This window comes from Homo sapiens, chromosome 14 (genome assembly GCF_000001405.40).
Source record: "Homo sapiens chromosome 14, GRCh38.p14 Primary Assembly".
In the NCBI taxonomy this organism is placed as follows: domain Eukaryota; kingdom Metazoa; phylum Chordata; class Mammalia; order Primates; family Hominidae; genus Homo; species Homo sapiens.
The window spans coordinates 21,023,674-21,050,759 of record NC_000014.9 but is presented as its reverse complement, the minus strand read 5'-3'; the positions used below and the strand labels follow the sequence as shown (position 1 = coordinate 21,050,759).

Here is a 27,086-nt window from a genome sequence, read left to right as displayed (position 1 = left end):
ACAGCCACCAAAAAGGGGAAATTGACATTGATCCATTATTATTATTACCACAAATGAAATTTAAAGATAGCATATAAAACACTCATATGCACGGCTATTTTATAAATATTAGTTAAGTGAAAGAAGCTTCAGAGAAAGCCCAAGCTCATTGGGCACTACTTTAGGTGTTTTAGTTCATCTTCCTCTGTGGTTACTAGCACTTCAGGGGAAATTCTGGGAAGCATTGCTCTGCAGGTTCTAGTTGACCATGAAGATCCTGTTCTGGATATGCCAAATTCAAGGGTAAAAAGTGGTAACCCTTACCAAAGATAAATGCTTGGGATATCTCAGGCCCACCCGGAGCTCCACCAAACAGGATCTCTGTAATGTTTTCACCCTGGTCCGGAGTAGCAGATGGGAGGTCCAGGCCCTTTTTCTTGTTGCATATCCTTATTTATGTTTCCAGCAGCCAATGGCACGGCCAGGGACATGCTTGACTAGTTTGCCATCAATTCCTCATGTACTGTTTTTTTCCCATCTCAATGATACAATATGAGCATTCAGGTGAAGGTCAGAAATGCAACGTGTCAGGATTACGGGCACTTAATACTCTTTTGGATGAACATGCTTTTGTCTCAAATCCGGGGGTCTGCCCATTTGCAGATTGATTTGCCAGTCCATGTATGATTTGATCTTGAAAGATATCTGGGCTGGGCACAGTGGCTCACCTGTAATCCCAACACTTTGGGAGGCCAAGGCAGGCAGAACATGAGGTCAGGAGTTCAAGAGCAGCCTGACCAACATGGTGAAACCCAGTCTTTACTAAAAATACAAAAATTAGCCGGGCATGGTGGTGCATACCTGTAATCTCAGCTACTCAGGAGGCTGAGGTAGGTGAATCGCTTGAACCTGGGAGGCCAAAAAGCTCAACAAGGTTGCAATGAGTCGAGATCGTGCCACTGCACTCTAGCCTGGGTGACAGAGCAAGACTCTATCTCAAAAAAAAAAAAAAAAGAAGAAAGATGTCTGAGATCCATTTGATATTGAATGCCACTTTGTAAATATCACAAGGCTTGTTCAAAAAAGCCCGAGTTCTTGCCTAAATTATTCATGTAATCTTGGGCAAAGTGTTTAAGTCCTCAGGGTTATTTTGCTCATTTGCAACATGAGGAAGGCATGACTAGATGATCTCCGAGAACACTGGACAAGATGTCTTGCAGCATTATAATGTTATGATTACTACTGGGAGAGCCCTAAAGCCATGGAGATAGGAAATTTCATCTTGTGCTAAATGCCACGACCCAAGCAGGAATTTGTACTAATTCACACCACAGTTAGTTTATGTTTTAAATGTGTAAGTTCAACTAAGTTTCTATGAAAAAACCATAGAAAGTAATGACCACAATGTTTTTCTGCTATAACCAATCCACTGGACATGAGTCACAGGCGTTGGTGGAGGTTTTGAGTGATGAAAAATGAACCAGAAAATGGAGCTGAATCAGAGGGTGGGAAAAATATAAGAGGCTTCCACGATGGAAGTGAGGGGATAGTAAGCCTTCCTAAGGACTAATTTAAATATCTCAGGAGGGGAAGTTGGAAATGTCACTAGAGCCCTGTCTCCATCAATTGCTGCAATAATCAAATCCTTTGGATGGGAGGGAATACAGAGGGCACCCTCAAAAGTTAGTGGTCCTAAGTCCTCCAACTTATTTTCATATCTTTGGATTCATAAATTCACAGAGGTTGCAGAGGAGAAAAACTTCCCTTAAGTAATCTTAACAGAAATTCTCCAAAGCCCCCTTTTACTTCTCCTTCAACTCAAAGTACCCATCCATTCCTCCCAAATAACCTTATCTACAGAAACTAATACATATTGTCCTTTTTGTCTGACCTTGAACCTTCCCTTATCTACTCTTGGCTAGGAGCTTTTTGGCAAGAGGCGGATGAGGAGGAGTTTGGCCTCCCTTGTTTAAATCCTTTGTTCTTCTGTCACGGAAGTCAGGCCTGCTCCATTCATCACAGGTTTGACCACTCAACATTTGACACCACAATGATAAATAGAAATGCTAACACCATTCAAACTTTCCCTACATGCTAGTCACTGTACTAAGTGCTTTATATGTATTGTTACTTTTAATCCACATTATACTCTTGTGAAGTGGTAGTGAAGATCCATGTCCCTGAAGGTATTCAAGCCCAAAAACCATCTGTTGGTAACATTATTGCCAGGCGCATTGGCTCACACCTGTAATCTCAGCAGTTTTGGGAGGCTGAGGAGAGTAGATCACCTGAGCTCAGGAGTTTGAGATCAGCTTATATAGATGGGGAAACTCCCACCTCCCTAAGCTAAGAGGCGTTCTATCACAGTGTGTATTTTCATCACGAGCACACATTTTTATTTACCTTTCCTCTTATGAACTGTGGACTTCTTACAAGATCTCATTAGCAATGTGGGCTTTCTCATGTCCCTGTGGCTCCGTGGATGTTCCCAAGCTTACTGGTTTTGGAGTCTTGCACAGGTAAGCATCCTGATAAGAGCTATAACTGCTCTTCTTTTTGCCCATTCATGGTGGGGTGGGGGTAGGGGGAGGACATTAGAATGAAGCTCTGAAGTCTTTGAAGCACTTTTGGAAGCCCAGTTGTGCAGGTGCATGGAAGAAATGTGATGAAATGAGTTGAAGCTCTCCCAAGGAGAAGAGAAGGCCCCCTGGATGTTGTTGCTACTGGTATGTTTTTTGGTGCCATAGCTCAAGGGTTATCCCCCAGAGCCCCAGACACTATGAAGAGGGCCAAAGGGTCCTGATCTTAAGGGCAGGGTGTAGGCAGAGGAAATCCCTGGAGCTGAGGATCCTTCTCTTCACAGTGATTCTGTTGGCCCTCTTCATGGTGTCTAGGGCTCATTTACTTCAGTGTGTGGAGACTTCTGGGAACCAGAGTCATGTAGAAAAGTCTCCTCCCCAGTCTACCTCAGATAGTCTCCCTTCTAGGAGAGCCAGCTCATCTAGCTCCAGTTCTTGGTTTACTTTCTTTACTGAACTCCATTTCCGCTCCTTTACTCCATGTTGAAACAATTTAAGTCCATCTGCACAAGACTGGGCAAAGCTCCCCTGGACACCATCCTCCTCTCTCCAAGCTCCCAGCCCTAGAAACATAAATATCTCATAATTAAGCATTCTCCTTTTCCCATTCTTCAGCTTTCAAGTAGGAATGCATCACAGTTCAGCCAGCCTTGGTATTTGGCCCAAATTATTATCTTCTTGTATCTCAGCTTTGGCTTTTGGAAGGCTGAATAGTCAAATTCCTATTTCATCACTATTCCTGGCATCCTTTAACTTGGCTGTGATCAAGGTCACACGAAGGATTGAGTGACAAATCTATTCAGGTAGGGCACCACTAATAAGAATAGGCCAGGCCATTTGGATTTATTGTTAATATCTGAATAGTTACTTCCAAATATTGGTGAGTACTCTAGATGTAACCTGGAGTGAAATTTTCCTTGTGAGCTTAAAAAAAAATTATTATATTGAAATTCTACCAGCCAGTGGAAGTATAAATGGGTATTTATTATTATTTATTATTTTTAAGAAAGATGCTATTATTAATTGTTGTGAAAGCTTATATATGAAACAATTATTTAAAATTTCCACATGGTTAAAAAATAGGAAATTAGTTGACCGATAATATAAATAATAGAAGAGAGTGTGTTAGCTAGATAACTTTAGGGAGAACCTTATGTCCCTTGATCAACAATGATTTGAACTGTGCAAGTCCACTTACATTCAAATTTTCATCTGCTTCTGCCATCCCTGAGACAGCAAGACCAACCCCTCCTCTTCCTTCTCCTCCTCAGCCTCCTTAACGTGAAGACAATGAGGATGAAGACTTTTATGATGAGCCACTTCCACTAAACGAATAGTAAATATTTTTTTCTTCCTTATGATTTTCTTAATGACACCTTTTTTTTCTCTAGCTTACTTTATTGTAGGAATATGGTACATAATACATATAGCATACAAAATATATGTTAACTGAACGTTTATGTTATTGGTAAGGCTTCAGGTGATCAATAGGCTATTAGTAGTTAAGTTTTGGGGGAGTCAAAGGTTATACTTGGATTTTCGACTGTACACTAGGCACCCTTAACCTCCATGTTGTTCAAAAGCCAACTGTACTTTCTGAGACCAAGGTATGTATGTATGTATGTATGTATGTATGTATGTATGTATGTATGTATGTATTTGTTTTGAGACAGGCTCTCATTCTGTTACTCAGGCTGGAGTGCAGTGGTGCCCAGGCTGGAGTGCAGATCATGGCTCACTGCAGCCTCAACCTTCTGGGCTCAAGAGATCCGCCACCTCAGCCTCTGGAGTAGCAGGGACTACAGGCATGTGTCATCATACCCAGCTAATTGTATTTTTTGTAGATATGGGGTTTCACTATGTTGCCCAGACTGGTCTCAAACTCCTGGGCTCAAGTAAGCTGCTCTGGTTAGGCCTCCCAAAGTGCTGGGATTACAAGTGAGAGCCACTGTGCCTGGCTGAGCCCAATGTATTTACAACAATTTAATAAACACCACAAGTAGTATTTAATTTAACAAATAGTACAGAACAGAACAATAGAAATTAGATTATATCATAATTCTATCTATGATTTAATTACTCTTTTTAGAATTGATTGGTGTATTATGATTTATTATGTAAATAAAATAATCCCTTAAGAAGTATACATATTTGAAAGACTTTTTTGAAAATGAGATATAACTTACATAAAATACACAAATCTTTTTTTCTTATTTATTTTTATGACCACCTGCTGCCTTTTGAAACAAATCTTAAGTATACAGTTCAATGAGCTTTCACATAGGAAACATATCCAGACCAAGAATAGAATATTTCCAGGTCCTCAGAAGGCTCCCCCATGCCCCTTCACAGTTATACTTCCCCAAGGCTACAACTATTCTGACCTGTATCACCACAGGTTACTTCAGAACTTTCTAGTTATTTAATGCTATTTAGGTCAACTTTTAATGCTATATTAGGTCAAGTTTCAAGAAAAAGTTTTAGTTGGAAATTCTTCTTATTTTGGGAGGATGCATTGAAGGCATAATTTTAGCCACTTTAAATTTTGTGAGGAGAATGTCTCTAAAACCATATTATCCATAAGAAAGATCATCAATAAAGAAGATAGAGTTGTGAAAAAAGAATAAAATGAAGAGAAAAATCGGCTGCCCCAAGTATCTTGCTTTTCTGTGCACCACAAGTGAAAATCATCTCTTTAGGATGGTAAATGTAGTATACTGACCACAAGAGTTCAAAACAAATTCAGATTTTGGATAAACTTCAGATTTATTCAAGAATCCCAGAAGTCCATTCGATGATGGCAATGTTCTGTTTTCAGGTAACATTTGTTTTTACACTCAGTCGTTTGGCTGTTGTGACCAACTCATCCACTTATTGGCCCTCATTCTGTTAGAACTGTTTAATGATCTGCTCTCCTTTCCTTTAATCATCCTTTCCTTACTTTCTCTCCTCATCATCTCAGACAACCTGGCTGCCCTCCCAGGACTCTGCCTGCGGGCTTGTCCTCTAACCCACTCATGATCATCACTCTGGCAGAAGGAAGTCTCTCGGGAGACCTTAGTGGGGGTATTTGCCTTGGTCTGCGTGTTTTCCAAAGATGGATATTGCTACTACTAGTTATGATCTAACACCTGTCAGTACTTGGGGCTGACAAGCGTTTCATAGATAGCATTTCCACATCTTTACCTGGAATCCTATTTGGCAGGTAGGATTCCTCACATTTTGCTGTAGAGAAACAGACAAGCCAATTGTTCGAGGTCATGTAGACGGGAGTCAGGATTTACACCTGATTCTGTCTGGCTCCAAAGCTTACTCTGACTCTGGTCAGTAGTAAAAAAGCACAGGAGTTGATGGGGAGGGATAGGTAGAGTGGAATCCTCAGCAGGGTTGGGAATGTCTTATAATGAATTTGGGTTTGAAATAGAACAGGCATGGGACACAATGCAGCTTGTTTGGGACTGAGATAAAGGAAGAAAGAAGGGGATGGTGCTGGTCAAGCAATGTTGGAGAGACCATCAGGACTGGCCAATACCAAGCCATACCTTCTCCAGCTCCAGTCCCCAGAACGAGAGAAATGGTATCTGTAGCCCAGGGGGACAGGGAAATGGCATTTTCGCATCTCAACCCCTCAGGCCTGGGCAGACTGCCAGAGTGGAGAGCCAGGGTAGCAATGAGGCAGGGGAGATCATTATCAGGAGGAAGGAAGCTCTGGCAGCTCCCACCAGCCTGTTTGTGACAAGCAGGCTCAGGGCCACGGAAGTCCCTTAAGGTCAAAGGAAATGTGATCCTGGATCTGGGGGATGAAGCTCAGACACTCCCTTTACCTTATGTCTTCAGGCCAAGGGGATCTGGCCAGAGCCAGGTCCAGGGCCTAGGTTGGAAGAGCAGTGGTCTAGAGAAACGGGAGGGGCAGTTAGAGAGGAAGAGAGAGAAGGAATAAAATGCCAGAGCACCTCATAAACAATCTCTTGGCTAGAGAGGTAATGACCTTTATTGCAGCCAACACAGGGTAACTGGCTCTTCAGAGCACTCGTTTCTTCATGAGTGAACTCTTACCTAGTTCACCGCTTGCCTCTGTAACAGTGACTTCTTTCTTGCGCAACTGGTAGAGTAGAAGGTACACTGTATTTAGAGCAAGGAGACCTAGGTTCAAGTCCAGGTTCTGCTACTAACTAATTAGACAAGCTCTTTAATTCATTAAGCTTTCTAAAACCTTAATTTCCTCATCCATAAAGAAGGCATACAATCCCTGTCAAGTCTATGTCACAAGGGATTAGAGGATTCTATACAAATATGAAGTGGTATTTATTTATATTTTTCTTTCCTTCAGGTCACCTCACTGCCACGTCAGAGCTGGGGAAGACTTCTAGTTCAGGAACAGAAACAGCTGTGTCCACAAATCCCATATGCCCCCTTTCCATTTATTTCCTCTCCTTGTCATGCTGCCCTAATGCCAGGGGGCAGGGGAGACATGTGCAATGGCATAGACCAGGGAACCCACAGACCTGAGCTTGCTGTTTCTTGGGGATAAGCATCTGGGAAAACAGCAACAAAAAGATGAAAAGCCATCCCTCTAGAGCTCAGCTCACCAGAGTGTCAGCTTCAGCCTCCCAGCAGAGGCTGAACCAGGAACAGCCCCAAGAGATGAGGGGAAGAGAATGCTCTGGGTGTAGGGGAGTGGTGCGGAGTCCTGGAGAGGGAATTGAAGGTCAGCCAAAGAGCAAGCCAGTCTGGAAACCTAAAGGACTCTGTCCAAGTGTACAGGAACCAGGTGGAATTGCTGAGAGTCCTTTTTCTGGGGAGGCTTACAGGCCACTACGTAAGACTTGTTCTGTCGCTTCTCTTTGTACCTGCAGTTCGGATGCTTCCCTGAGGTGAGCTTACACATGGTCAGGGACACGGCCCCGTGGCTCTGGTGGCAGTTTTTATCGCCATTCTTGCAGGCTATTTTGGGGGTCTGGCAGGTGGCGGCCACACTGGAGAAAGGCTCGTGCAGGAAGGTGTTGAGGTCTTTGCACCGTTTTGTGTGCTTGTTAATGTTTTTCATGGCTGAGTTGCATGCTTGAGGGCTGGGCTGCATGTGCTGAATTTTAAACCACTGTGATGAGGTCATGCCCTTGGGCTTGGCACTGACTGGGATCTCTGCCACCCACAGCCCCAGCAGCAGAAGCAGCAGAAGGGGGCAGAATCCTGCTCTGGCCGGTGCCATCTCTCTTAGGAGGAGCAGTCAGGATGGAGGGCAGGGGTCGCTGGGACAGAGGTGTTCAGTTGAGAAATTAGTCCTCTTATACCTGCTCATATGAGCTAGTCACCCATCTCCCTACTCGGTTGTCTCCTTTCCTCACTTTGTGTCTCATCTCTGCCTCTTCTTCTGTGTGTCCACATCCACTGCAGCCCCAACAACAACCCTGTGGCCCCATCTCTCATCTTGTATTTCTGTTCCCTTCATTCTGTCCCTGTTGCCTGTCACTCTTTGTCCTCTCCCCTTTCCCTTAAGTCTCATCCCTTTTGTGTCTCCATGTTCCTGTGTCTGTGTCTCATCCTCTCCCGATTCCCATCTCGTCTGTGTTCCCATTCTTTTTCATTTTTTGCCTCCATCCCCAACATCACTCTCCCCTTTCCCCAATGCGTGTCCTCATCTCCCCTAAATCCAGTCCCTCCTTTATCCATTTTATCGCTCACCTGAGTGTACTCTCAGGATCAGAACCCATCCCTCCTTCTCTGTCCTCACTCCTCCCCAGATCCTGCCACAGCCTCACCTTTGCGCTTGGTCTTCGTGCTGTGACTCCTGCTCAGTGGGCTGAGGTGGTGTCCACGCACTCCTAGGCTGTCAGATCTCTGAGGGCCTCTTCTCACTCCTGAACTCCTTAAGAGCTGGCCCGGGCTACGCTGTGTCTGTTTGGGGGTGGGCTGGGAGCATCACTGGATCAGGAAATGAATCAGGTTCATGCCTCTCCACTTACATGTCCCAAATACGTGGACACCTAAGGATGCCTGTACCTGCCTAAACATGTTCAGCAATGAGGAAGCTTGAATCGTCACATTCGAAGACTGTATTTGTTCCCTGGCCACATGATTTTAATGACTCTTTAATAGAGCACCTGACCCAGGTGTCAACTGAAATCAATTTCAGGAAGAGTTGTCATTCATATCCTCTCATATACACTTCTGGCCCTTGATCCTGGGAAGAGTCAATCACTGTGGTGTTAAGGGTTGCTTCTTCTCTGACCTGAGGCACAGATAGGACAGCCTAGAAAGATGCTTTGTCTGGTTCCTTGTCATCTGGAGATACTGGTTATCTTTCGGAGGAGATGGAACAGACACGAGGGAAGTGGGTGAATGAATCATCACTGTCACGAGGCCTGGCACCATCCCCAATAGCGAAGCCATTCCACAATGATTCACAGGCCTCTCCAGTTCCAGGTACCAACCAAGGCCACATGGCTTTAGCTGGAGAAGGCAGCCAACACCTCTCAATTTCACTTGTTCCCTCCCTTTTTTATTGAAAATTGCAAAAATTTAATACTGCCCAAATGTTTGTGTTTAAAATGCTGTTGCTGCTCTCGACATCCTGCCTTAGTGCTTCCTTCACCTTGTATGTCCTGTTCCTTGTGGTGGTTACAGCTGTGTGGAGCATCTGGGTCAGTGCTACTCCAAGCTCTTGTGAGCTTGGAATATGACACTCAGGAGAACCGAGACACCAAGGCAGAGAAGCATCACCCTCTGTGGGTGAGAAGGCCTGTAAAACTGAGATGAGGAATATTTTTGTTTTCAGAATTTACCTGTAAGTAGTAGGCAATCTCAGAATCTTGGGCATGCTTCATTCATGTGGTCAACAAACATTTATCGAGCATCTACTAAGTGTCAAGATACTTGGGATATATCACTGAACAAAAAAGGCAAAAATGGCCAGGTACGGTGGCCCACACCTGTAATCCTAGCACTTTGGGAGGCCATGGCAGGAGGATTGCCTAAGGCCACGAATTCAAGACCAGCCTGGGCAATGTGGCGAAACCCTGTCTCTATAAAAAATTTGAAAAATTAGCCAGGCATGGTGGTGCATGCCTGTGGTCCCAGCTACTCCAGAGGCTGAGGAGGGAGGATTGCTTGAGCTTGAGAGATAAAATCTGCAGTGAAAATCATGATTGCACCACTGCACTCCAGCCTGGGTCACAGAGTGAGACCCTGTCTCAAAAAACAAACAAACAAACAAACAAACAACAACAAAAAACAAAGACAAAAGTCCCTGCCTTTGTAGAGCTTACATTCCATTGGAGAAAGACAGTAAAAAAAAATACGTATACTTTGCTCAAAGTGATAATGGCTAGGGAAAAAAGTAGAACAGTATAGGGGTTGGTGGTCAGTAATTTTACGTAACATCGTTGAAATCGCTGACTCTGGGGCAGAGACTTGAAGATAAGAGTGAACTTGTGATTATCCGGAGGAAGAATGTTCCAAGTGAAGAGACTAGCACTGCAAAAGCCCCAGAGCAGACAGATGCCTGAGGTGTTGGAGGAACAGCAGTGTGTCCAGTGTGGCTGGAGCAGGTAACTGAGAGTTCAGAGAGGGACCAGAGACCAGGTCATTGGGAAGACTTACGGACCATTTGAAGGCCTGTGGCTTTTACTCCAAGCACAGTAGGGAACCCTGGAAGGGTTCTAAGTAGATGAATAAAGAACGTGTCAGCTTAAAGGATTACCTGGCTGTTGTGTGGATTATAACTGTGGAGAAGTCGCACAACCCATCCTGATCATAAAGTTTGTGTTCTGGTCCAGAATTTATGATTCTAAGTCAGGAGGATGGGGAGTTTGTTTTGAGGCCAGGAGGACATTATTTTAGTAGCTGGACAGCACAGCTGTGGGTTGGGGGTCAGGATGAAGGATCTTTAGAAGCAAAAGTGGTGCTGGAGATGAGAAATGCCACTAGATGGCAAAAGAGAATCAAGAACAAGTTCACACAGGCCTCTGGCTCTTCTGGTTTGTCCTCAGCGAGGCCTTGGTTGGGGGAGCAGCTGTTCACTTCTTTGTTAAGGTATCCCAAACTTTGCAGGCTGAACTTCTGGATAGAAGTTCTGGATAGAGAATTATGCCCCTGCTGCCGTAGAAACATGAATGTTAGGAGATAAAATCCACGGTTTAAACCAGGCTGTGTATCAAATGTGTATCAGCACAGGCCAGTCTAGCCTTTGGAGTGGAGGCTGGATGGAAGGCTGCAAGCTCATTTGAATGCCTAGCTTGGTCTCCTTTCTACTTCTCATTATCCTAGAGTGGGATGTTTTCAAGCCATGATTTAAATTTCCCTCTACACTTGTGTTTTCCTGATATTATAATTATCCTAGTTTGCTCTTCAACTCGAGTATGCTGGGCTGCGTAGAAGGCTGCCTTAGGACTGTGTGAAAGTGAAATAAACATGGCCCTGCTGCTTCAGTCCAAAGGGAAAAGAGAGTAAGGTTTTAAGTTTGCACATGAAAATCGAAATTGAGTCGTACCTACCATACGTGCAATTCAACTGAAATCTTTGTTTTGCCTCAATTATTTGGATAAGGGAGGTGATTTTGTTTGTGTGCCCAAATTATCCAGCTTCCAAGATCTGCTTCACCTTGTACTTGGTAGGCTGATTTTGCTATTTTGGCTTCACTGCATTCATGGGGCAACAGAAAAAGATGGAGGAAGGGGGACAAGTTTAGGAAGAACAAAAAGATTCAGGCATCAGGCCAGGGACTGGTTCAGGAGTTTCACAGGAGGAGAAGAAAGACTCTGAGAGAGAGAGCAAGAGCAGAAGACAAAACAGTGGGAGAGAAGACAGAAGGGAAGAAAAAGTCCCTTACACCAGCAATCTCTACCCCTGCTTCCTTCTCATTCTATCGTCGAAGTCACTTCTGTTGGCCCAGCTTCTCCTTAGGCTGTTGTGTGTGTGTTTAAGTTGGGGCGGGTGTTGTGAAAATCCCAACAGTGCCAGGTGGACCTCTGCCTGTCTTCCCCACAGGACAACAGCTGCTGCTTCCTCTCGCCTGTGCTGGGAGGGAGTGAAGGGGGAAGGGAGAGAGGAGGGCCGGGCCTGGATTGGTGCCTACCCTTCAGAGCCAAGCCTCTCTGCCTTCCGGAGTTCCACACAGCCTCTGGATACCAATGGAAAGCCCGTGAGAGTTCCCTTCCAAGCAAAAGCAGATCCAAGTTCTGTTATCCTAATTTTGTTGGTCCTTTGATAAATAAAGGTAATGGGCTCATTTTTGTAGACTGAGAAAGTGAAACATACAGCAAGTTGAGGTCAGATGTGGGACTTTCTTCAGGTCCTTGAATTCCCATGACCTTTCCTGGAACAGCTGTGGGTCAGGAGGAGGCAGCACTGACAGAAATTTGGAATCCTTGGCTCCCAGACCAATGCGTTTAGACAAGCCAGGATGGAGGAAAGAGGAAACTGATTTGGGGGTTCACTGGGGCCTTGTCTCACAAGCCCTCCCAGCTCCCCATTTATCTACAGAGCAAAGTATCATTTCCTTAGCCTGGTAATCAGGGTCTGTCACAATCGGGCAAACCTGTCTTTCTAACTTTATCTCTGATTTTTCTCCCACTGAGTGCCTCAACCCCAGCCAGACCGGTTTCCCCCCATTTTTCAAGCATGTCTTTCATAATCCTCTTTATCTCCACTGAACTTCTAACTTCACCATGAGATCCATTTCCAAGCCAGGGTGACCCTTCAGGAAAACTTTCTCTGACCCTCCCAATTCAGAGACATCTTTCTCACCTCTAAATTCCTACAGCATTTACTGTCTTCAGAATGTATAATTTTCTGCCTTGAATCACTGGTTATTTCTTCATGTGTATGTATTATTTTTCTCTTAGACTGTCAATTCCCACAAGATGAGGACCACCCGTTACATTTCTTTTGCACATTTCACAGTATATAGCATAATGCCTTGCATATAAGTGACCCTAACTGATTCAACTTTTAGAAGGCATTCCGTCTGCTCCTGAATGATCCCAGTCTGAGGTGGGATTGCCTCCAGCCCACAGAGATGGTTAACAGATGAGGAAGTGACAATGCGGCTTCTAGACTTCAGCCCTGGGTTTGAGGTGATGCTATGAGAAGAAGGTTGAGATGGCTGAGGCAATCCTTCAGGTTCAAGGACAGCCCAGGAACTGTCCATGACACAGTATATTGTTTGAGCAACTTGAATTGGACAGGGCAAAAGATAATGCCAATGAGATCATGGTGAGCCCACTCAGAGCAAAATTTTGGGGTTCTCCTCAGTCATAGGGAGTCACCCTTGCACCTGCCACCCTAGCCAGTTGTTCTATAAATGCTTACCATTGGGGAGGGAAGGGAGAGAATGTGTAAATGATTACATGCAGAGGGTCATCTTTACAGGAAAAACAACTCAGTTATTGTTTCAATGGTGAACTATCAATACACATTTTTCTGGTAGAATCAGCACCATTACAATCAACATTTGTTTAACAAAAATATTTTGATGTCCCAGATGTTTATCATTTTTTTAATACATAAGATACAAGTAAGTCTGCTTTGGTTAAGAAATTTGATTAGCTAATTATTTAGACCAGGGCTTCACAACCTCAGTGTTATTTACATCTTGGTCTGGATAATTCTTTGTTATGGGAGCTGTCCTGTGAAATGTGGGATGTTCAGCAATATCCCTGGCCACAGGCCAGTAGCAACTCCTGGTTGTGACAACCAAAAATGTCTCCAGACATTATCCAATTGTCCCTGGAACTACTGAATTAGACATATGACCTTGAGCAAGCCACTGTCACTCTAGAACTTAGTTTTTCATCCCTAGGGAAATGCTTGTGTATGTAAAACCCGGTGTAATGGGGTAACAATCCCACTAATCTCAGGCTTACGGAGCACATGACACCATGATGAGGTTGTCAGAATGGATGAAGTAATCTTATGCATCAGCACCTCTAGGACAGGATTTTAGGGAACAGATCACCAGGATTGCAGTTGGGAAGCCGAAGGCTCATCATCATTAAATCATTTAAGTCCTGAATGCTTTCCTCTATAATGTGCTGTTCAGTTTCTGTAATTGTGCGGCAGAAGTGAGTGGTGTTGGGTGGGGGGAGCGAAGAGCGGTGATGGGTGGCTGGGGAATGAAGGAAGAGGAAGAACAAAAGGTATAAAAAGTCCCTTTCTATTCTCAGGGAAGCTGCAGCCTTGAGGGACCAGGGAAGAGGTGGCATGATTCAAGGCAGGGACCACAATGTGGTTGGCTTCCTCAAAGCAAAGGCCTGAGTCAGCCAGGCTCAGGCGACACCCTGCATTGGCACCCGCTCAGTGTTGTCTTGTTGAGCAGCCTGAAGAATACAGATGAGCCACCTGCCCATGTGGGCTCTATCCTCACTTGCTTGACGGTGCCCACTTCCTTGGCGAGGTCTTCCCAGCAGAGGCTTTCTAAGTGGGACCTCTGGGTTGAGTCTTTCTATGAGCTAGCACCATGGAATAGATGGGGGCGAGGAACGGTGCAGCAGCAGGGTTCCAGGTAGAGGAGACAGCAGCAGATAGGGCATAGAGGAGGTGGGGGACAAGGTGGGAAGCAGGCAGGGATGCAGATGCAGTTGTACACATGGGCAGGTGCAAGATCATGGGAAGTCTTATGTCCTGTGAGATGTAGTTTGGACTATACCCTACGACAAGCTTGTCCAACCCATGGCCCGCGGGTCACATGTGGCCCAGGATGGCTTTGAATGCAGCCCAACACAAATTCGTAAACTTTCTTAAAACATTATGAATTTTTTTGCATGTTTTAAGCTCATCAGCTATCGTTAGTGATAGTGTATTTTATGTGCGGCCCAAGACAATTCTTCTTCCAATGTGGCCCAGGGAAGCCAAAAGACTGGGCACCCCTACCCTATGAGAAACAAGCTATTGCAGACTTTTAGACGAAAGAAGGGATCACACTTTTTCTCTTGAAGTTGTATAAGAGATATATTTGAGTTGAGTCTTACTGGAGTTGGAGTGTGTGTGCTGTCCAGGCGAGACGAGAGCATCCACTGAGGAAGAAATAAGAATGGAAGAGATGGGCTTGGGAAAAGTTTAAGATTGTCAGGGCTGTGTGACTGATGGACTCAGGCTCATACTGAGGACTCACCATGTGCCGGGCACTGGTCTAAAAACTCTTGATATACATCTTAATGGATCCTCATACTGCCGTGAGGTAAAAAATACTATCCTCATGAACAGATGAAACAAGGAAGCTTTCAGTGGTTTCGTAAACAGATAGATGGTGTGCAGTTTGTAAGCTGCAGAGGCAGGATTCAATTCCTGGTCTGTTTCACTCAAAAGCCTTGATCTTAACCACCATGCAGGACCGCCTCCCCGTAGCTGGGATTGGGGAGGTGGAGGGGTCTAGGATCACTTTCAGGTTTCTTGCATAGGTAACCAGGGAAACTGAGTTGACAAAACAGGAAGAGAAACAAGTTATGGGGAGGATGGATTCCATTTTGGACTGTGGTTTGTGCTGTCAGAAAGTGCCAGTTTAGGGGGCTCTACATGAGGAACACCAATCTTTCTCTCTGCGGCCTTACTCCCTCCTCCTGAGCTATACTGAGGGTGTTGGAGCACTCAGCTTTCTGTGTTCTGACTCCCCTTTTCTGCTGCCCAGCAAAGGTAAAAAGGCTCTCCTAAGAGGAGGCCCCAAATCTGGAAGACACCTTGCAGACTAACAAGGCTGAGTGACCTGTGGAAGTCAAGGGCAAGAGCTAGCAGTTTCCAGGGAGCTGGCTCTTTGATTCTGATGAAAGGGAAGATGTTGATGAAAAAGATAGGAGCGTGGCCCTTTCCCCAGCATGGCAAACCACTCAGAGATCAACCAACAGTACGAAACGGATCATGCCAGGCTCTGGCATCCACAGCTTTTCATGTTCAGGTTATGCTTTCAAATCCAAACTGCCAAGTTTGAGGCTTCAGAGTCAGCATGCAGAGATTTCCAGTAGTGCTCAAACTCTGACAGGGCCTGAGGTCACAGGTGAAGGCTGTGGGTGTGACAGGAGTAAGGCTGATAGGGACCGTGGGGAGTCCACATGGAGGTCTTTGATTCTCAGCCCAGCACTTTGGTGGGAGGCCCCTGAGTACATGCCCTCCTGGGCTCCCGTGAGTGGGATGACAAAGTGGCGAATGCTCTGTTCTCTGAGGGTCAGGAATAAGAAGCACTTTGTTCCTCAGAAACATAACAGTGCTTTCCTACTCACCTTGCCACGAGAGCACAGGCTATGGAACAGAGAAAACATCAAAGAAAGCCCAGGCACTTAGGAACTTTTGGCAAGGAGATTGGAAGTAAGTGTTCCAATGACACTGTAGAGGAGGAGACCAGATAGTAATGCCTCTTTCCTCCCACCCATCCAACCCTCTTAGCACAGGGGCTCATCAAACTCGGGGACATTCCCTCCTCCCAGACTGATTTTTACCTAGAAACCTTTCTAGCCTCTCCTCATCTCTTGACTGTCTTGGCCTTGGCAAGAAGAATACACGTCCCTACCCAGCTATCTTCAGCTCCTGTCCTTCCTCCCAGCTGCCAGAGAATTGTCAGGTCAGCCTGCTCCTTCTTTCTTCTCTGCATTTTTTACTAGCAGGAGTGCCAGGGGCCCAAGGACTCTTGGGAAGAGTCTCTCACCCAAGGACCAGTTAGAGCTCTTATTCTGCAAATGTAGCTCACGGACTCTGCAGAGGCTGAGATTCTGTGGTGGACCAGGGGAGCAGGGCTGGCTGAAGGTGGCTGGTTGTCTGGGTGGCCTTGGGCAAGCATCTCCTCTTTCTGGGTCATGAGAACTTGGTTATGGGTGAGATGATCTCTAAAGTACTGTTGGGTTGGGAATGCTGGAGGCTCTGGGATGTGGCAGACAGCCACTTCAGGCCCACTGCTGCCCCCAACCACCTTAACTCTACCAGCAGGAGGAATGGCACCAGCTGTGACCCGGCTCCTTTTCCTCCAGCTTGTTCTGGGGCCAACTCTGGTCATGGACATCAAGATGCAGATTGGCAGCAGGAACTTCTATACCTTAAGCATTGACTATCCCAGGGTTAACTACCCAAAGGGTTTCCGGGGCTATTGTAATGGTCTGATGTCCTATATGCGAGGCAAGATGCAAAATTCAGATTGCCCAAAGATCCATTATGTGATACATGCCCCTTGGAAGGCCATCCAGAAGTTCTGCAAGTATAGTGACAGCTTCTGTGAGAATTACAATGAATACTGCACACTCACCCAGGATTCCCTCCCCATCACGGTCTGCTCCCTGAGCCACCAACAGCCACCCACTAGCTGCTACTACAATAGCACCCTAACCAACCAGAAGCTCTACCTACTCTGCTCCCGCAAGTATGAAGCTGATCCAATAGGTATCGCTGGTCTCTATTCGGGAATTTAATTCCTGAGCCACTCCCCAACCTCTACCACCACAGGCCAGCTGTCTCCATTTCCAACACTCTGATCCCTGTAACAAGACTTCCTTCCTGACTTACGAGGCAGGCAGGGTCCCCTCCCAAGAGACCAGGTGGGTGCGAAAATGTCCAGGGCTTTGATCACCATGCAAAGTGGTGCTATCTTCTAGGTTCTTTCCAGCTTGTTTACCCCCTCTTCGCCCCCACCTCCTCATCATCCTTCCTCTCCCAGAGACAGTAAAACCCACCCAAGAAGTTGACTGTGTCCAGTTGGCAGTGACTGTCCACCCACTGGGCCAGATCCTAAGTCCTGGATGGAGGCCCAGGGCCTCAGCTCACACCATGGCAACAGGCACCAGCTCCGAGTCTCACCTCCCCATCCCCACCAGCCTTCTCATGTCAGCCTCCCCCAGTTCCCTTATAATTCCCTCCACTCACCCACCTACTCAGGGGATATGGCTAGCTATAGGAACCTCCCTGAGGCCCTCAGACTCATGTTAGCCTCACTTCCCCACAACCCCCAGTTTCCAGCCTGCTTCTCTCTGTGAAATCATGGTTTCTCCCTTCATATAACTGTCCTCTCCTGCTTCCTCTTACCATGGAGCCTAGGACTGTCTCCCCCACACTCCCAACAACCGTAGTCACCCTGCCTTCCTTTTTCCAACCTCTTTTTCTTCCAGTCTTCTTACCTTGGCTCACTGGCATTTCAAGGTATCTTCTCTCACCCATTCCCCAGAGGTTCCTGCTTCCCTTCTCTTCCAGAAGCTCCTCCCAAATCCCCCAGACTCCAGAGTCTGCCCCTGACCAGGCAGCGAATGAGGCAGGCCCGGCTCTAATCGAACATAAATTTCTAAAACCACATCTGAGTATGTAAGATGTAACCATTGGGGGAAACTGGGTGAAGGGCACACGAGCCCCCTCTGTACCATTTTTTGTAACTTCCTGTCAACCCATAATCAATTCAAAATAAAAAGTTAATAACACACATCTGACTCTGTTGTGATTTAATTGCTTTTTCTTCAGTGCACCAGAACTCCTGCTCTTGGAATCCTGGCAGCCTGCCTCATCTGGCCATCTTCCTGAGCTACCCTTAGCAGTCAGTAAGCTCTTCTGTCCCATGTGCCCCATGATGGAGGTGATGTGGGGTAAAACTTAGTTCTGGGCTGGGTGTTGAAAATAGACTCTCCCCTTACCCCAGCTCTGGAACAAATTTGTAATAGAAGTCAGGCAACCTTAGCTGGCTTCTACTCCTCCACCCAAAAAACCTGAATTGCAACAGATGAGGAAGGTGGAGGGACAGGGAAGGATCTAATATGTGATATAGTCATAGTCCATCACGTGAGGAATTGCTACACCCTTTTGAGGGGTGGGGGTGGAGAGGTGGATATCAGTAATGTGTGAACACAAGTAGTAGATACTTTTACCTCCACATCTGGTTCATCTCTTTACTCCAAATATATTCTTCCATCCTGTTCTTGGAAGCAGCTGTTGAGGAGGAATGCTAACTGATGGCTGGTAGGCATAAGGCTAAGCAGAGCGAAGGGTGTGTGGTGGAGAACCCACCCTCCTGTGCTGCCTCTTCTCCCTCTCTCTACACTAGTAGGCTCATCTGTCCCTCACAGACAGAGATTTTGGCTGCTGCACACACAGATGTTTATTGTTTTCCAAGCTCCCTGGTGTTAAACATGCAGGGTCAGGGGGCTAGCAGGCTGAGATGAAGCTCCTCTCTACTTGGTCTTCTTATCGTAGGTGCCAGAACCCTTGTAACCACTCACATAGCCTGTGTTGTCAGTCATCTCTTCCCGTCCCGCAATGCCCTTGCCCTTGCCACTCTCATCAAAGCGCTCCTTGTGGGTGCCGGTGTACTTGCTGGTGTCTGTCAAACGGTCCACTGCACCCACTGTTGTTGCTTTCTGCAAGCCAGGGATGGATTTGAGCTCTCTTCCTTTCCTTACGCTGTCATATCCCTTCCCCAAAGATGGCCCGAGATACTTAGAACAAGTGCTTGGAGCTCTTGCTCTGCCACTGGCATGGGGTGCTGCTTTCTTAGGGCCCAGATACAGCTGTGGGCAGGTACTCTGGTAAGAGCCGTTCACTCATGGGGGAGGAGGAGTGTGGTGTGGGAATGAGTGTGGCGTGTGCAGAGGGAGGGTAGGTTTTTTGTTTCCAGAGGAGTTATTCTGACTAGGCTGCTGCCTGAGGACTTCACTCCCACTCCCCGACTCAATATCCACTGTAGAAAGAGCTTTTAGTTCAGACAGGACAATTAAAAAAGGGAGTAGGTGAGAGGCAGGAGGCCTGAGATTAAACCCTAAATAAGAATTGGAAGAGGAGTGGGCATCAGGTACCAAATTCTCTACACTAATGTCCTCCAAAAGCTACCAAGCCCTAATTGCCTGGCTCAGATACTAGACACTTGGAAATTAGTCTAAATCTACTATTAAAATAGCCATGGACCTTGGGCAAGTCACTTCCCTTCTCTGGGCCACATTTTCCTGACTTCTGGAATGTCTAGATGATCTCTAAAGTCTGTTTCGGCCCTGTCTCTACAGTCACACAGTTGGCAGGGTTAGGGAGGGTAGACTGGAACAATGGGGATTTAGGGAAGTAGGGTCAAGGGGATGAAGGCTGTCACTCACAGTAGCGCCAGTGGTGGCTGGGTCTTTGCCCTCCATGAGTCCATAAATGTTCTCCAGGACTTCATCTGGACTCTTCCCTTTGAAGCGCTTCTGGCCCAGTTCCTTCACTGCCTCTTTGAACTGTTGAAACGTGATGGTTCGGGCGTTCTTGGCCCTGGTCAGTTAGACAGAAATCCAGAAACTTTGGAGCATGAATGCATTACCTTCCAAGGTCCAACTCTTGCCTCACTCAGATTTGGCCTCTTTTGTCCTATCAATCAGTGAGTGTCTCGAAGACAAAGGATAGCACAGCGCCAGGTACCCTGTGGTGCTTGGTAGGCCCACTGCAAATGTTCCACCACGTGAACCCTTCCGTGGCCAACTACCTCGCAGGTTCTTCTCACCCCCACCTCCATATTTTTGGCTCCTCACTTGACTTTGCTGAACACGATGTCCACGTCCGTGGAGGTGACTGTCTTGCCATCCATGATGCCACAGTCTTTGCACAGCTTGGAGAAGTTCTTGTTGTTCATTTCAGTGCCACTGCTTGATGATTCTCCAAACGCAGCAAACCGATGGAATGTTTTTTCTGCCTCTGATGCCATGGTCAGCTAGAGGTCGGGGAGGGCAGTCGTGGGAGACACTTGGGGGTGAAGGAGAAGGGGGAGGGAGGACTGTGGAGTAATGAGGATGAGTGTTATGGTAAAATCAGTCAGCAACAGGAACAGCTCCCCTCTTCCCTGTTGCTCTCTCCTTTCTCCCTCCCAGCTCCCATTGCACCTACGCAACTACAGCATGAGTCTCCCATTCCCAGCATTGGAGATACCAGTGTGGATCCTACCTACTGAATGATCCTCTCTTTCCCCTACCTCTTTTATGTACCTTAGAGTACCCGGATGGTGGTCTGACCCTTCCCGGCCTTTGTATTTAAGTGTGTGCAGATATGTGGGAGCCGGTTGGCTGTGGCAATGAGGAGACAGAGGGAGGAGAGGGAAGATTCTATGACCTCAGCAGTGGTTATGTGACATCACTTCTGGCCCCAGCTACAGCCATTGCCTTCAAAGGAGGGGGCTTTTGGTCTCCCTACCTTGCATGCCGAATTGAGCAAACTGCCAACTTTCTGACCTTTTCAGATGATCACATTTCCATCATTTCAGCCAAGCTTACCCATCCTCTGGGTCCTAGTCAAATTGCCTTATGCTCTGCCCCACAACAGAAGCTGAGGCGAGCCCAGGGAAGGTGTTGTAGTCTGTTTGGGCTGCTAGAACAAAATATCAAACTGGGTGGCTTATAAACAACAGACATTTATTTCTCAGAGCTCTGAAGGCTGAGAAGTCTAAGATCAAGGTGCTGGCAGATTCAGTGTTTGGTGAGGGCTGCTTTCCGGTCCATAGATGGCACCTTCTTGCTGTGTCCTCACATGGTAGAAGGGGTGAATGAGTTCCCTTGGGCCTATTTATAAGGGTATGAATCCCATTCAGAAAGGCTCTGCCCTCATAAAACTTAATCACCCCCCAAAATGCCCCATCTCCTAATACCATGACTTTGGGAGTTAGGATTTTATTTTATTTATTTGCGTATTTATTTTGAGATGGAGTCTCGCTGTCTGTTGCCCAGGCTGAAATGCAGTGGCATGATCCTGGGGCACTGCAACCTCCAGTCCCAGGATTCAAGCGACTCTCATGCCTCAGCCTCCCCAGTAGCTGGGATTAGCCCAGCCACTATGCCTGGCTAATTTTTGCATTTTTAGTAGAGACGGGGTTTTGCCATGTTGGCCAGGCTGGTTTCGAACTCCTGACCTCAAGTGATCCACCTGCCTCAGCCTCCCAAAGTGCTGGGATTACAGGTGTGACCCACTGCGTCCAGCCGGGAGTTAGGATTTTAATATATGAATCTGTGGACAACATAAACATTCAGACCACAGCAGTTAATGAAAACGGATTAATGAAAACAGGCTGTCATGTTTTCTAGTCTCCAGGCTCAAGTGTAGCATGGAGAATCCCACTGGCTTTAAAAGGCCAGTCGCAATAGAAACATTAAATAGCTTCCAGTGTTGGGCCCAGCAAGCCTTGGAGTATAACAGATGTGGACAGGTCAGGATAAAACTGGGATAGACTGAGGGTGAGGCTCAGATTCTGAAAATCTTCAGATAAGTTTCTATGCAGGTCAAAGATGTTCCTCAGGGTTTTCTCTCTTCGGCCTTTTCTCTGGCCAGAAGCACTACAGATAGATGAACCTCACGGATCCTAAAACAGAGCAACGAGACTGGTGACTTTCCTCCTTTTCCCATCTAATAATGCCACCACTTTCTATTTTTTTTCTTTGTCTTACAAATCTATGCCTTTCTTTCCATTCCTATTGCTTCCACCCTTATTCAAGTTCTTATCATCTCATAGTTGGATGACTACTCTGGTTTCTAAATGATCTCTTTTCTAAATCTAATTCTTCACTCCCACCCACCCATAATCCATCTCTATTACCTCCTCCCCATCAGATTAATTTTCACAAAACAGTATTTTTTATTACTCCTGCTCAAGAATATTCTGTGGCTCAAGATATACTATAGCTTCTCATTGCTAAATCTTTTTGCTTAGCATTCAAGGACCTATACAACTAACTAGGCCCCAATCTACCCTACCAAACATCACCCACCTCTCATCAACATTATTCTTGGGCAGGGCACAGTGGCTCATGCCTATAATTCCAGCACTTTGGGAGGCCAACAAAGTGAGACCTTGTCTCTAGATAAATAAATAATAATAAAAAAATTAGTTGGGAGTGGTGGCATGCACCTGTAGTCCCAGCTACTGAGGAGGCTGAAGTGGGAGGATTGCTTGAGCCCGGGAGTTTGGGGCTGCAGTGAACTAGGATTGTGTCAGCGCACTCCCACCTGGCTGACAGAGAGACCCCATCTCAAAAACAAAACAAAACAAAACAAAACAAAAAGAACCCCAAGAAACAAAAAACCTAAGAACCAGATTATTCTGCAGCTGGGGTCATATGGCCTAATTGCTATACACTTGACAGGCTACTTGGGAGTGGAAGGAGCATAGTCCCTGGAGTGGAATGGACCGGGGTGGGGAAATGAATCCTAGATATGTCATTTACTAGCTGAGTGGACTTGGGCAACTCACTAAACATTTCTGAGTTTCAATTTTCTCATCTGTACAGTGAGGACGATAACACTAACCTTACGGTATTAGGGGATAATACATGGGAAGCTACTATTCAGTTCTCCAAAGTAACCTGAATGTTTCTGCCTCCAAACTGTCCTTCATGCTCTCTCTGTGCCTGGATAGAATGCCCCTCACTCCCACTCAAGTATTCCATGGTTGCACTTCTCATTTGGTGGTTCATCCTAGGAACAAAGCCCTTTTCCTTCTCTGAATTATAGTAAGATAATGATTTCTAGACTGTGGGCCACAGCCTCCTGGCGTGAGGATTTCTGAAATCTTGCAAAGGGCCCTAGAATCTGTATGTATAAAGAGTGAGTGTGAACTGAGTAAATAATATGCCTTGCATGTGTAGGTATTACCGCATTTACAGATGTTGTGACAGAAACTTACTTCAAAGTATTGATGAATTCATAGTTTGCATTTTCTCCATCAGGGGATACTATACCTATTATGTGGGGTTGGAAATCTCTAATCTCCCACTTGAGAAGGGTGGGAAACTACTGCTATAGGACTTACTGTCCAAATGATTGATCTTATATATAACTTGTCCTGTGTTTGTACCTTCTCTTGACAAATGTCAAAATGTCATTTCTCATCACAAATGTCTAGAGAGGGTGTGACCAGATGCACACTTTGAATTTCATCTACACAGTGGCTTGCACATAACAGATACTTAAAACTGTTGCTTACTTGAAGGTATAGTGTGAAGCTGCTCTGGCCAAAGGGAAAGAGTTTAGACAGAGATTGTCCTTGCAACACTTACACCCTGGTTGGGCTGGGAGCTGCCCTGACATGGAAGAACCATATCTTAGGGGAGAACCAGCCTTACTTCTGCCTGCAGCAGGCTGGGTGGGACCCCAAGGTCTAGGAAGCCAATGGATGTCAGTGGAAATTTCCCATCTCCTGCCTGCCCTGCGCCCCTGCGTAGGCCCCTTATCAGGTTCCCCCTGAGTCATCCTGACCCAGAGACGAATTTAGATGCTGGAACCTTCAGGTCCTTCCCTCCCCCACTCCAAGTAAGACGACTTTTGACAAAGAAAAGCCTGCAGGCAAAAGTTCTCACTCGAGGCTCTCCCTCTCCCCAGGTTCCTCTGGTGCTGATGAGATCTCTCCTGTCTTGCGCACCTTTGGCTGTGACCCTTATTCCAGCAGGCTTTTCCTTGTCCAGGAGAGTGTTAAACTGGCATCCAGAGGGAAGAGGGGACTAGGAGAGGAGCCAGGGTGCCCAGCTTCTGTGCCAGTTTCTGGGGAAAAAGTTATAAAGGGAGTGGGAGAAAGGAACAGAAGAAAAGTTGGGTGCTCCAAATTGGGGGATGTAGGGGGAGCTCCTTAGATTTGGGGTTGTTGAAGGCTGGGTTTTAGCCCGACCAGTTTTCCTACTGTGGGTCACCTCCTCCCTCTTGGCCTCTCCTTCTTTCCAGTAGACCCTGCCAAGTGGGGATGAAAGGGGCATTGATGTTCCTTGGATGGGAGGGGTATTGCGGGTGGTGAGGGTGGTGGTGGGAGGGTGGTTCCCAGGCAGGAGGGGGCAGGGAAACTTGGGGGTCTTGGGGGGGCAGTCGGTGCTGGTGTTGCAGTTGGCAGCTCAAGTTCCATTGGCCATTGTTCCTGACTGGCCTGGCGCCCAGCCCCCGAAATGGCAACTCAGGAACCAGTCTGAAGGGGGTTGGGGTGGATATGATCCTGGGATTGGGGGAGCTACAAGGGGGGCAGGTGGGGAGAAATTCAGTCAGGTTTCCTTTTGCCTAAACAACTTCGAATTCCCTTAAGCCACATTTTTAATCAACTAACTCATTCCAGGGAGCCTTCCTCCGAGGGGCACAAGGAGAGCTCATTCCAGGGTGTGTGTGTGTGTGTGCGTGTGCGTGTGTGTGTAAAGTCTACAGTGGCAAACCCACTCGGGCACCGAGAGGGACGCGGCAGACCCTGAGACCATCCCCCGGGCATTGCGATTCAGCGGGCCTGAGCTGGTCTCCTATTCTGGGCCGGACTGGGAGGGGTTAGCGGCGAAGCCACAGGGTCTCTTGGGTCCCAGCCCAGGACACTGCGTCCTCCCCAAGCCCCTACTCCACCCCCGCAGGGTTAACTCCGCCCCTGCGCCTGTTTACCCAGGAGTCAGAGCCTCTGGGGGTCCCCGGCCCCTCCCCCGCGCCCCTTGAGGCATTGACCCCAGAGTCCCTGTTGGCCATCCTCTCCCCACCCCCCGCCTGCCCGCGATCGCCCTCTATTTATAGCGGCCCCCCGCATTCCCCGCCCCCACCTCCCCGCCTTGTTGTCCAACTTCTCCCGGAGCAGCCGGAGAGCAGGCGTCGGGACGCAGCAAAGAGAGGAGAGGTACCAGGACTCTGGGCACGAGGGAGTCGGAACTCCTGCGCCCTCGACGTTCCCCCGTGCCCCCTTTCGGCGCCAGCACACCTGCCCCTGCCAGCCGGCGAGACCCCCGCCTCCTCAGCGGCGGTCCCGCCCACCTCCTCCTTTCTTAATCTAGTTCTCTGTGTTCGGGCGGGGGGAGTCGAACTCGTGGGGTGTCAGTATCCCGGGTTCGTCTCCCCACTACCGGTTCCCACCACTGAGTCTGGGGGCGAAGGAAGGAGCCAGAGTGCAATTGCAGATCCAGGTCGTGGATGGGGCGGTGCTGAGGGCAGCCGAGGGATCCCTCTCAGGGCTGAGGGATCCCCGCACTCCCCACACCGCCCCAATGCGGGGAGGGGGTGGTGGAATGTTTTGGTGAGCCGAGCAGAGCCTGGAAGCGTCCAGCCGCCCGCCCCTCGCCCCCCGGCCCCAGCACAACCCTTTCCTGAGCGGCAGTCTGGGCGGGGTGAAAGGGGGGGCGTGTTTACTGGGGGTCTGGGGCGGGTCTGCGGGGAGCCTAGCGCCCGTGGGCGGGCTGGGGCGGGCCGGGGGCGGGTCTGCGGGAAGCCCGAGCCGGGGCGGGCCCGAGTCAAAGGCAAGTGAAGGTGGAAGCGGCCGCGGCGGCAGCAGGTAGGGGGAGGGGCAGGCGAGGGGCCGTAGGGCCTGGAAGGCGCCAGCCGGGCCGGCGGGCGGTGTGATTGATCCGCGTCCCCTGGAGCTGGAGGCTCGGGGGAAAGGGCCAGCACGGAGCGGGCGCTCGGTTGCTGCGCACAAAGGCTGAGGCTCCAAGAGCTGCAGGGCGTGTTTGGGGTGCGCGCGAGGTTGTGTGCAAGGTCCGGGGCGCTTGGCACCGGCCACGCAAGGGTGTCAGTCTCCACGCGGACGGGCTGCGTAGGGACTCGTAGGGACGGGTTCCGGGTGCTGGGCCCGGCCGGTCTCCTCTGTCCTACCCATCCCTTCCCGATGGCGCTTGCCTTCGCGGGCCGTCGGGGGAGAACGGGAGAAGATTGTGGGACCGCTCTCCTCTCCCTTTCTCCACTCGTGGGACCTACACGGAGACTGAGTAGAGGAGAGAAGCGACGGCACCAATCTTTGTGTTTGTTTTTAAATTGTGGAGGGAAACAGCCATGCTCTGCTACCCTCCTCTTACTGGAGAGCTGTCAAAAATTTTGGGGATCCCCTATTCCCCCGCGTTTAGTCCCCCTGCAGATAGAAAATTGAGGCCAAATGTAGTAACTAACTGGGGCAAGGTCACACTGGGAGTGGCAGAGCCGGGATTCGAATCCGGAGGTTCTGACAGGGCCACCCTCTTACCTCCACATCAGCACTTCCTTCTCTCCTCCGCGCAGCCTGAACTGATGCCCTTGTAGCCTATATTGATTCCGGCTCGAGCCTAGAGAGGACGTGTTCTCTGGACTTAGGGGTAGACAGACACTGGGGAGGGTTAGTGACCCGAGGAGGTTGATGACCCTGGGAGTCTGGGTCTTGGCTGAGGCTTTCCGTCCCTGAAAGACCCCAGGTCTGTCTCCCATGTCATTCACCTCGTTGCTGTGTTTTCTCAGACCCCAGAGTCAGAAGGAGTGAGAACCCTGACCCCTAATCCCACTGCATCCAGCCAATAGGAGCCCAGTAAGTGACCCCACCCCGCAGGCTGCAGGCTCCTTCCTGTGCAGGTCTGTCCAGGTGCTCTGCTCCTCACCCACTAATGTTGAACTTGCGGAGTTTATTCAGAGTTGGGAGGAAGGGTCTTGGGAGGAAGGGAGGCATTGGGTTGGTTGGACAGATGTCCCTTTTATGTTGTTTTCCCCACCTCCCCCATTGGTCATGTTGCTTTGGTCATTTTTAGCCCCCTTTGAGCTGCCGACTTTGGGGCTTTAATTGAAGGTCATGGTCAATTGTGAACTCTCACAGTCCCGTCTTTTGGTACCCTGTCCTTTAGAATACTCAGTCACTGAGCTACAAGTTTCACTCCCTACCTGAGAGTG

At 47.9% G+C, this 27,086-nt stretch overlaps 4 protein-coding genes and 1 long non-coding RNA gene across 40 annotated transcripts in view, besides 2 other annotated features; 3 read left to right on the top strand and 2 right to left on the bottom strand.

The window, feature by feature from the left end:
* The window catches only part of NDRG2 (NDRG family member 2), a 54,110-nt gene that overhangs the window by 20,113 nt on the left and 6,911 nt on the right, over positions 1 to 27,086 (top strand). For 6 of the 27 annotated variants that reach the window (NM_001282216.2, NM_001354560.2, NM_201538.2 and 3 more), the window contains exon 1: positions 25,699 to 25,731. The exons of 1 other annotated variant lie outside the window; for it this stretch is intronic. The gene's annotated coding sequence lies outside the window, so the exon portion shown is untranslated. 20 more of the 27 variants (NM_201536.2, NM_001282215.2, NM_201537.2 and 17 more) reach the window with 15 other exon arrangements.
* Positions 2,065 to 4,363, top strand: LOC105370398 (uncharacterized). 5 transcript variants are annotated; one of them, XR_943587.3, is made up of 4 exons: positions 2,065 to 2,165; positions 2,416 to 2,498; positions 3,830 to 3,894; positions 4,252 to 4,363. It is a non-coding gene; the product is annotated as an uncharacterized LOC105370398 (long non-coding RNA). The 5 variants fall into 5 exon arrangements; XR_001750626.2 differs by adding an exon at positions 2,619 to 2,705 and having other exon boundaries at positions 2,065 to 2,498; XR_943588.3 differs by adding an exon at positions 2,614 to 2,705 and having other exon boundaries at positions 2,065 to 2,498.
* RNASE7 (ribonuclease A family member 7) lies at positions 6,527 to 8,398 on the bottom strand. The gene is made up of 2 exons (NM_032572.4): positions 8,318 to 8,398; positions 6,527 to 7,807 (listed from the first exon to the last, which is right to left on the bottom strand). Exon 2 carries the CDS (start codon positions 7,765 to 7,767, stop codon positions 7,297 to 7,299), a length of 471 nt encoding a protein of 156 aa, NP_115961.3. The 5' UTR covers positions 7,768 to 7,807; positions 8,318 to 8,398; the 3' UTR covers positions 6,527 to 7,296.
* Positions 11,458 to 11,622: a silencer, noted in NCBI's record as "fragment chr14:21507297-21507461 (GRCh37/hg19 assembly coordinates)". NCBI's record gives its function as "represses an EF-1alpha promoter that drives an FKBP-Casp9 reporter gene in an ReSE screen in HepG2 liver carcinoma cells {active_cell/tissue: HepG2}" and the evidence as "EXISTENCE:reporter gene assay evidence [ECO:0000049][PMID:32094911]".
* TPPP2 (tubulin polymerization promoting protein family member 2) lies at positions 14,408 to 26,461 on the bottom strand. 6 transcript variants are annotated; one of them, XM_011536420.3, is made up of 5 exons: positions 20,456 to 20,543; positions 20,006 to 20,247; positions 19,595 to 19,748; positions 18,380 to 18,440; positions 14,666 to 14,966 (listed from the first exon to the last, which is right to left on the bottom strand). In XM_011536420.3, the coding sequence occupies exons 2-4, from the start codon at positions 20,176 to 20,178 to the stop codon at positions 18,393 to 18,395; spliced, it is 375 nt and encodes a 124-aa protein (XP_011534722.1). In that variant the 5' UTR covers positions 20,179 to 20,247; positions 20,456 to 20,543; the 3' UTR covers positions 14,666 to 14,966; positions 18,380 to 18,392. The 6 variants fall into 6 exon arrangements, with proteins under 6 accessions (XP_011534718.1, XP_011534722.1, XP_011534720.1 ...); XM_011536418.2 differs by lacking the exon at positions 14,666 to 14,966 and adding an exon at positions 17,945 to 18,155; XM_011536416.2 differs by lacking the exons at positions 14,666 to 14,966; positions 18,380 to 18,440 and adding an exon at positions 14,408 to 14,569.
* On the top strand, positions 15,953 to 17,942 carry RNASE13 (ribonuclease A family member 13 (inactive)). Its single transcript, NM_001012264.4, has 2 exons — positions 15,953 to 16,104; positions 16,464 to 17,942. Exon 2 carries the CDS (start codon positions 16,472 to 16,474, stop codon positions 16,940 to 16,942), a length of 471 nt encoding a protein of 156 aa, NP_001012264.1. The 5' UTR covers positions 15,953 to 16,104; positions 16,464 to 16,471; the 3' UTR covers positions 16,943 to 17,942.
* Positions 25,577 to 25,866: a silencer, noted in NCBI's record as "silent region_5576". NCBI's record gives its function as "represses an Ori minimal core promoter by ATAC-STARR-seq in GM12878 lymphoblastoid cells {active_cell/tissue: GM12878}" and the evidence as "EXISTENCE:reporter gene assay evidence [ECO:0000049][PMID:35858748]".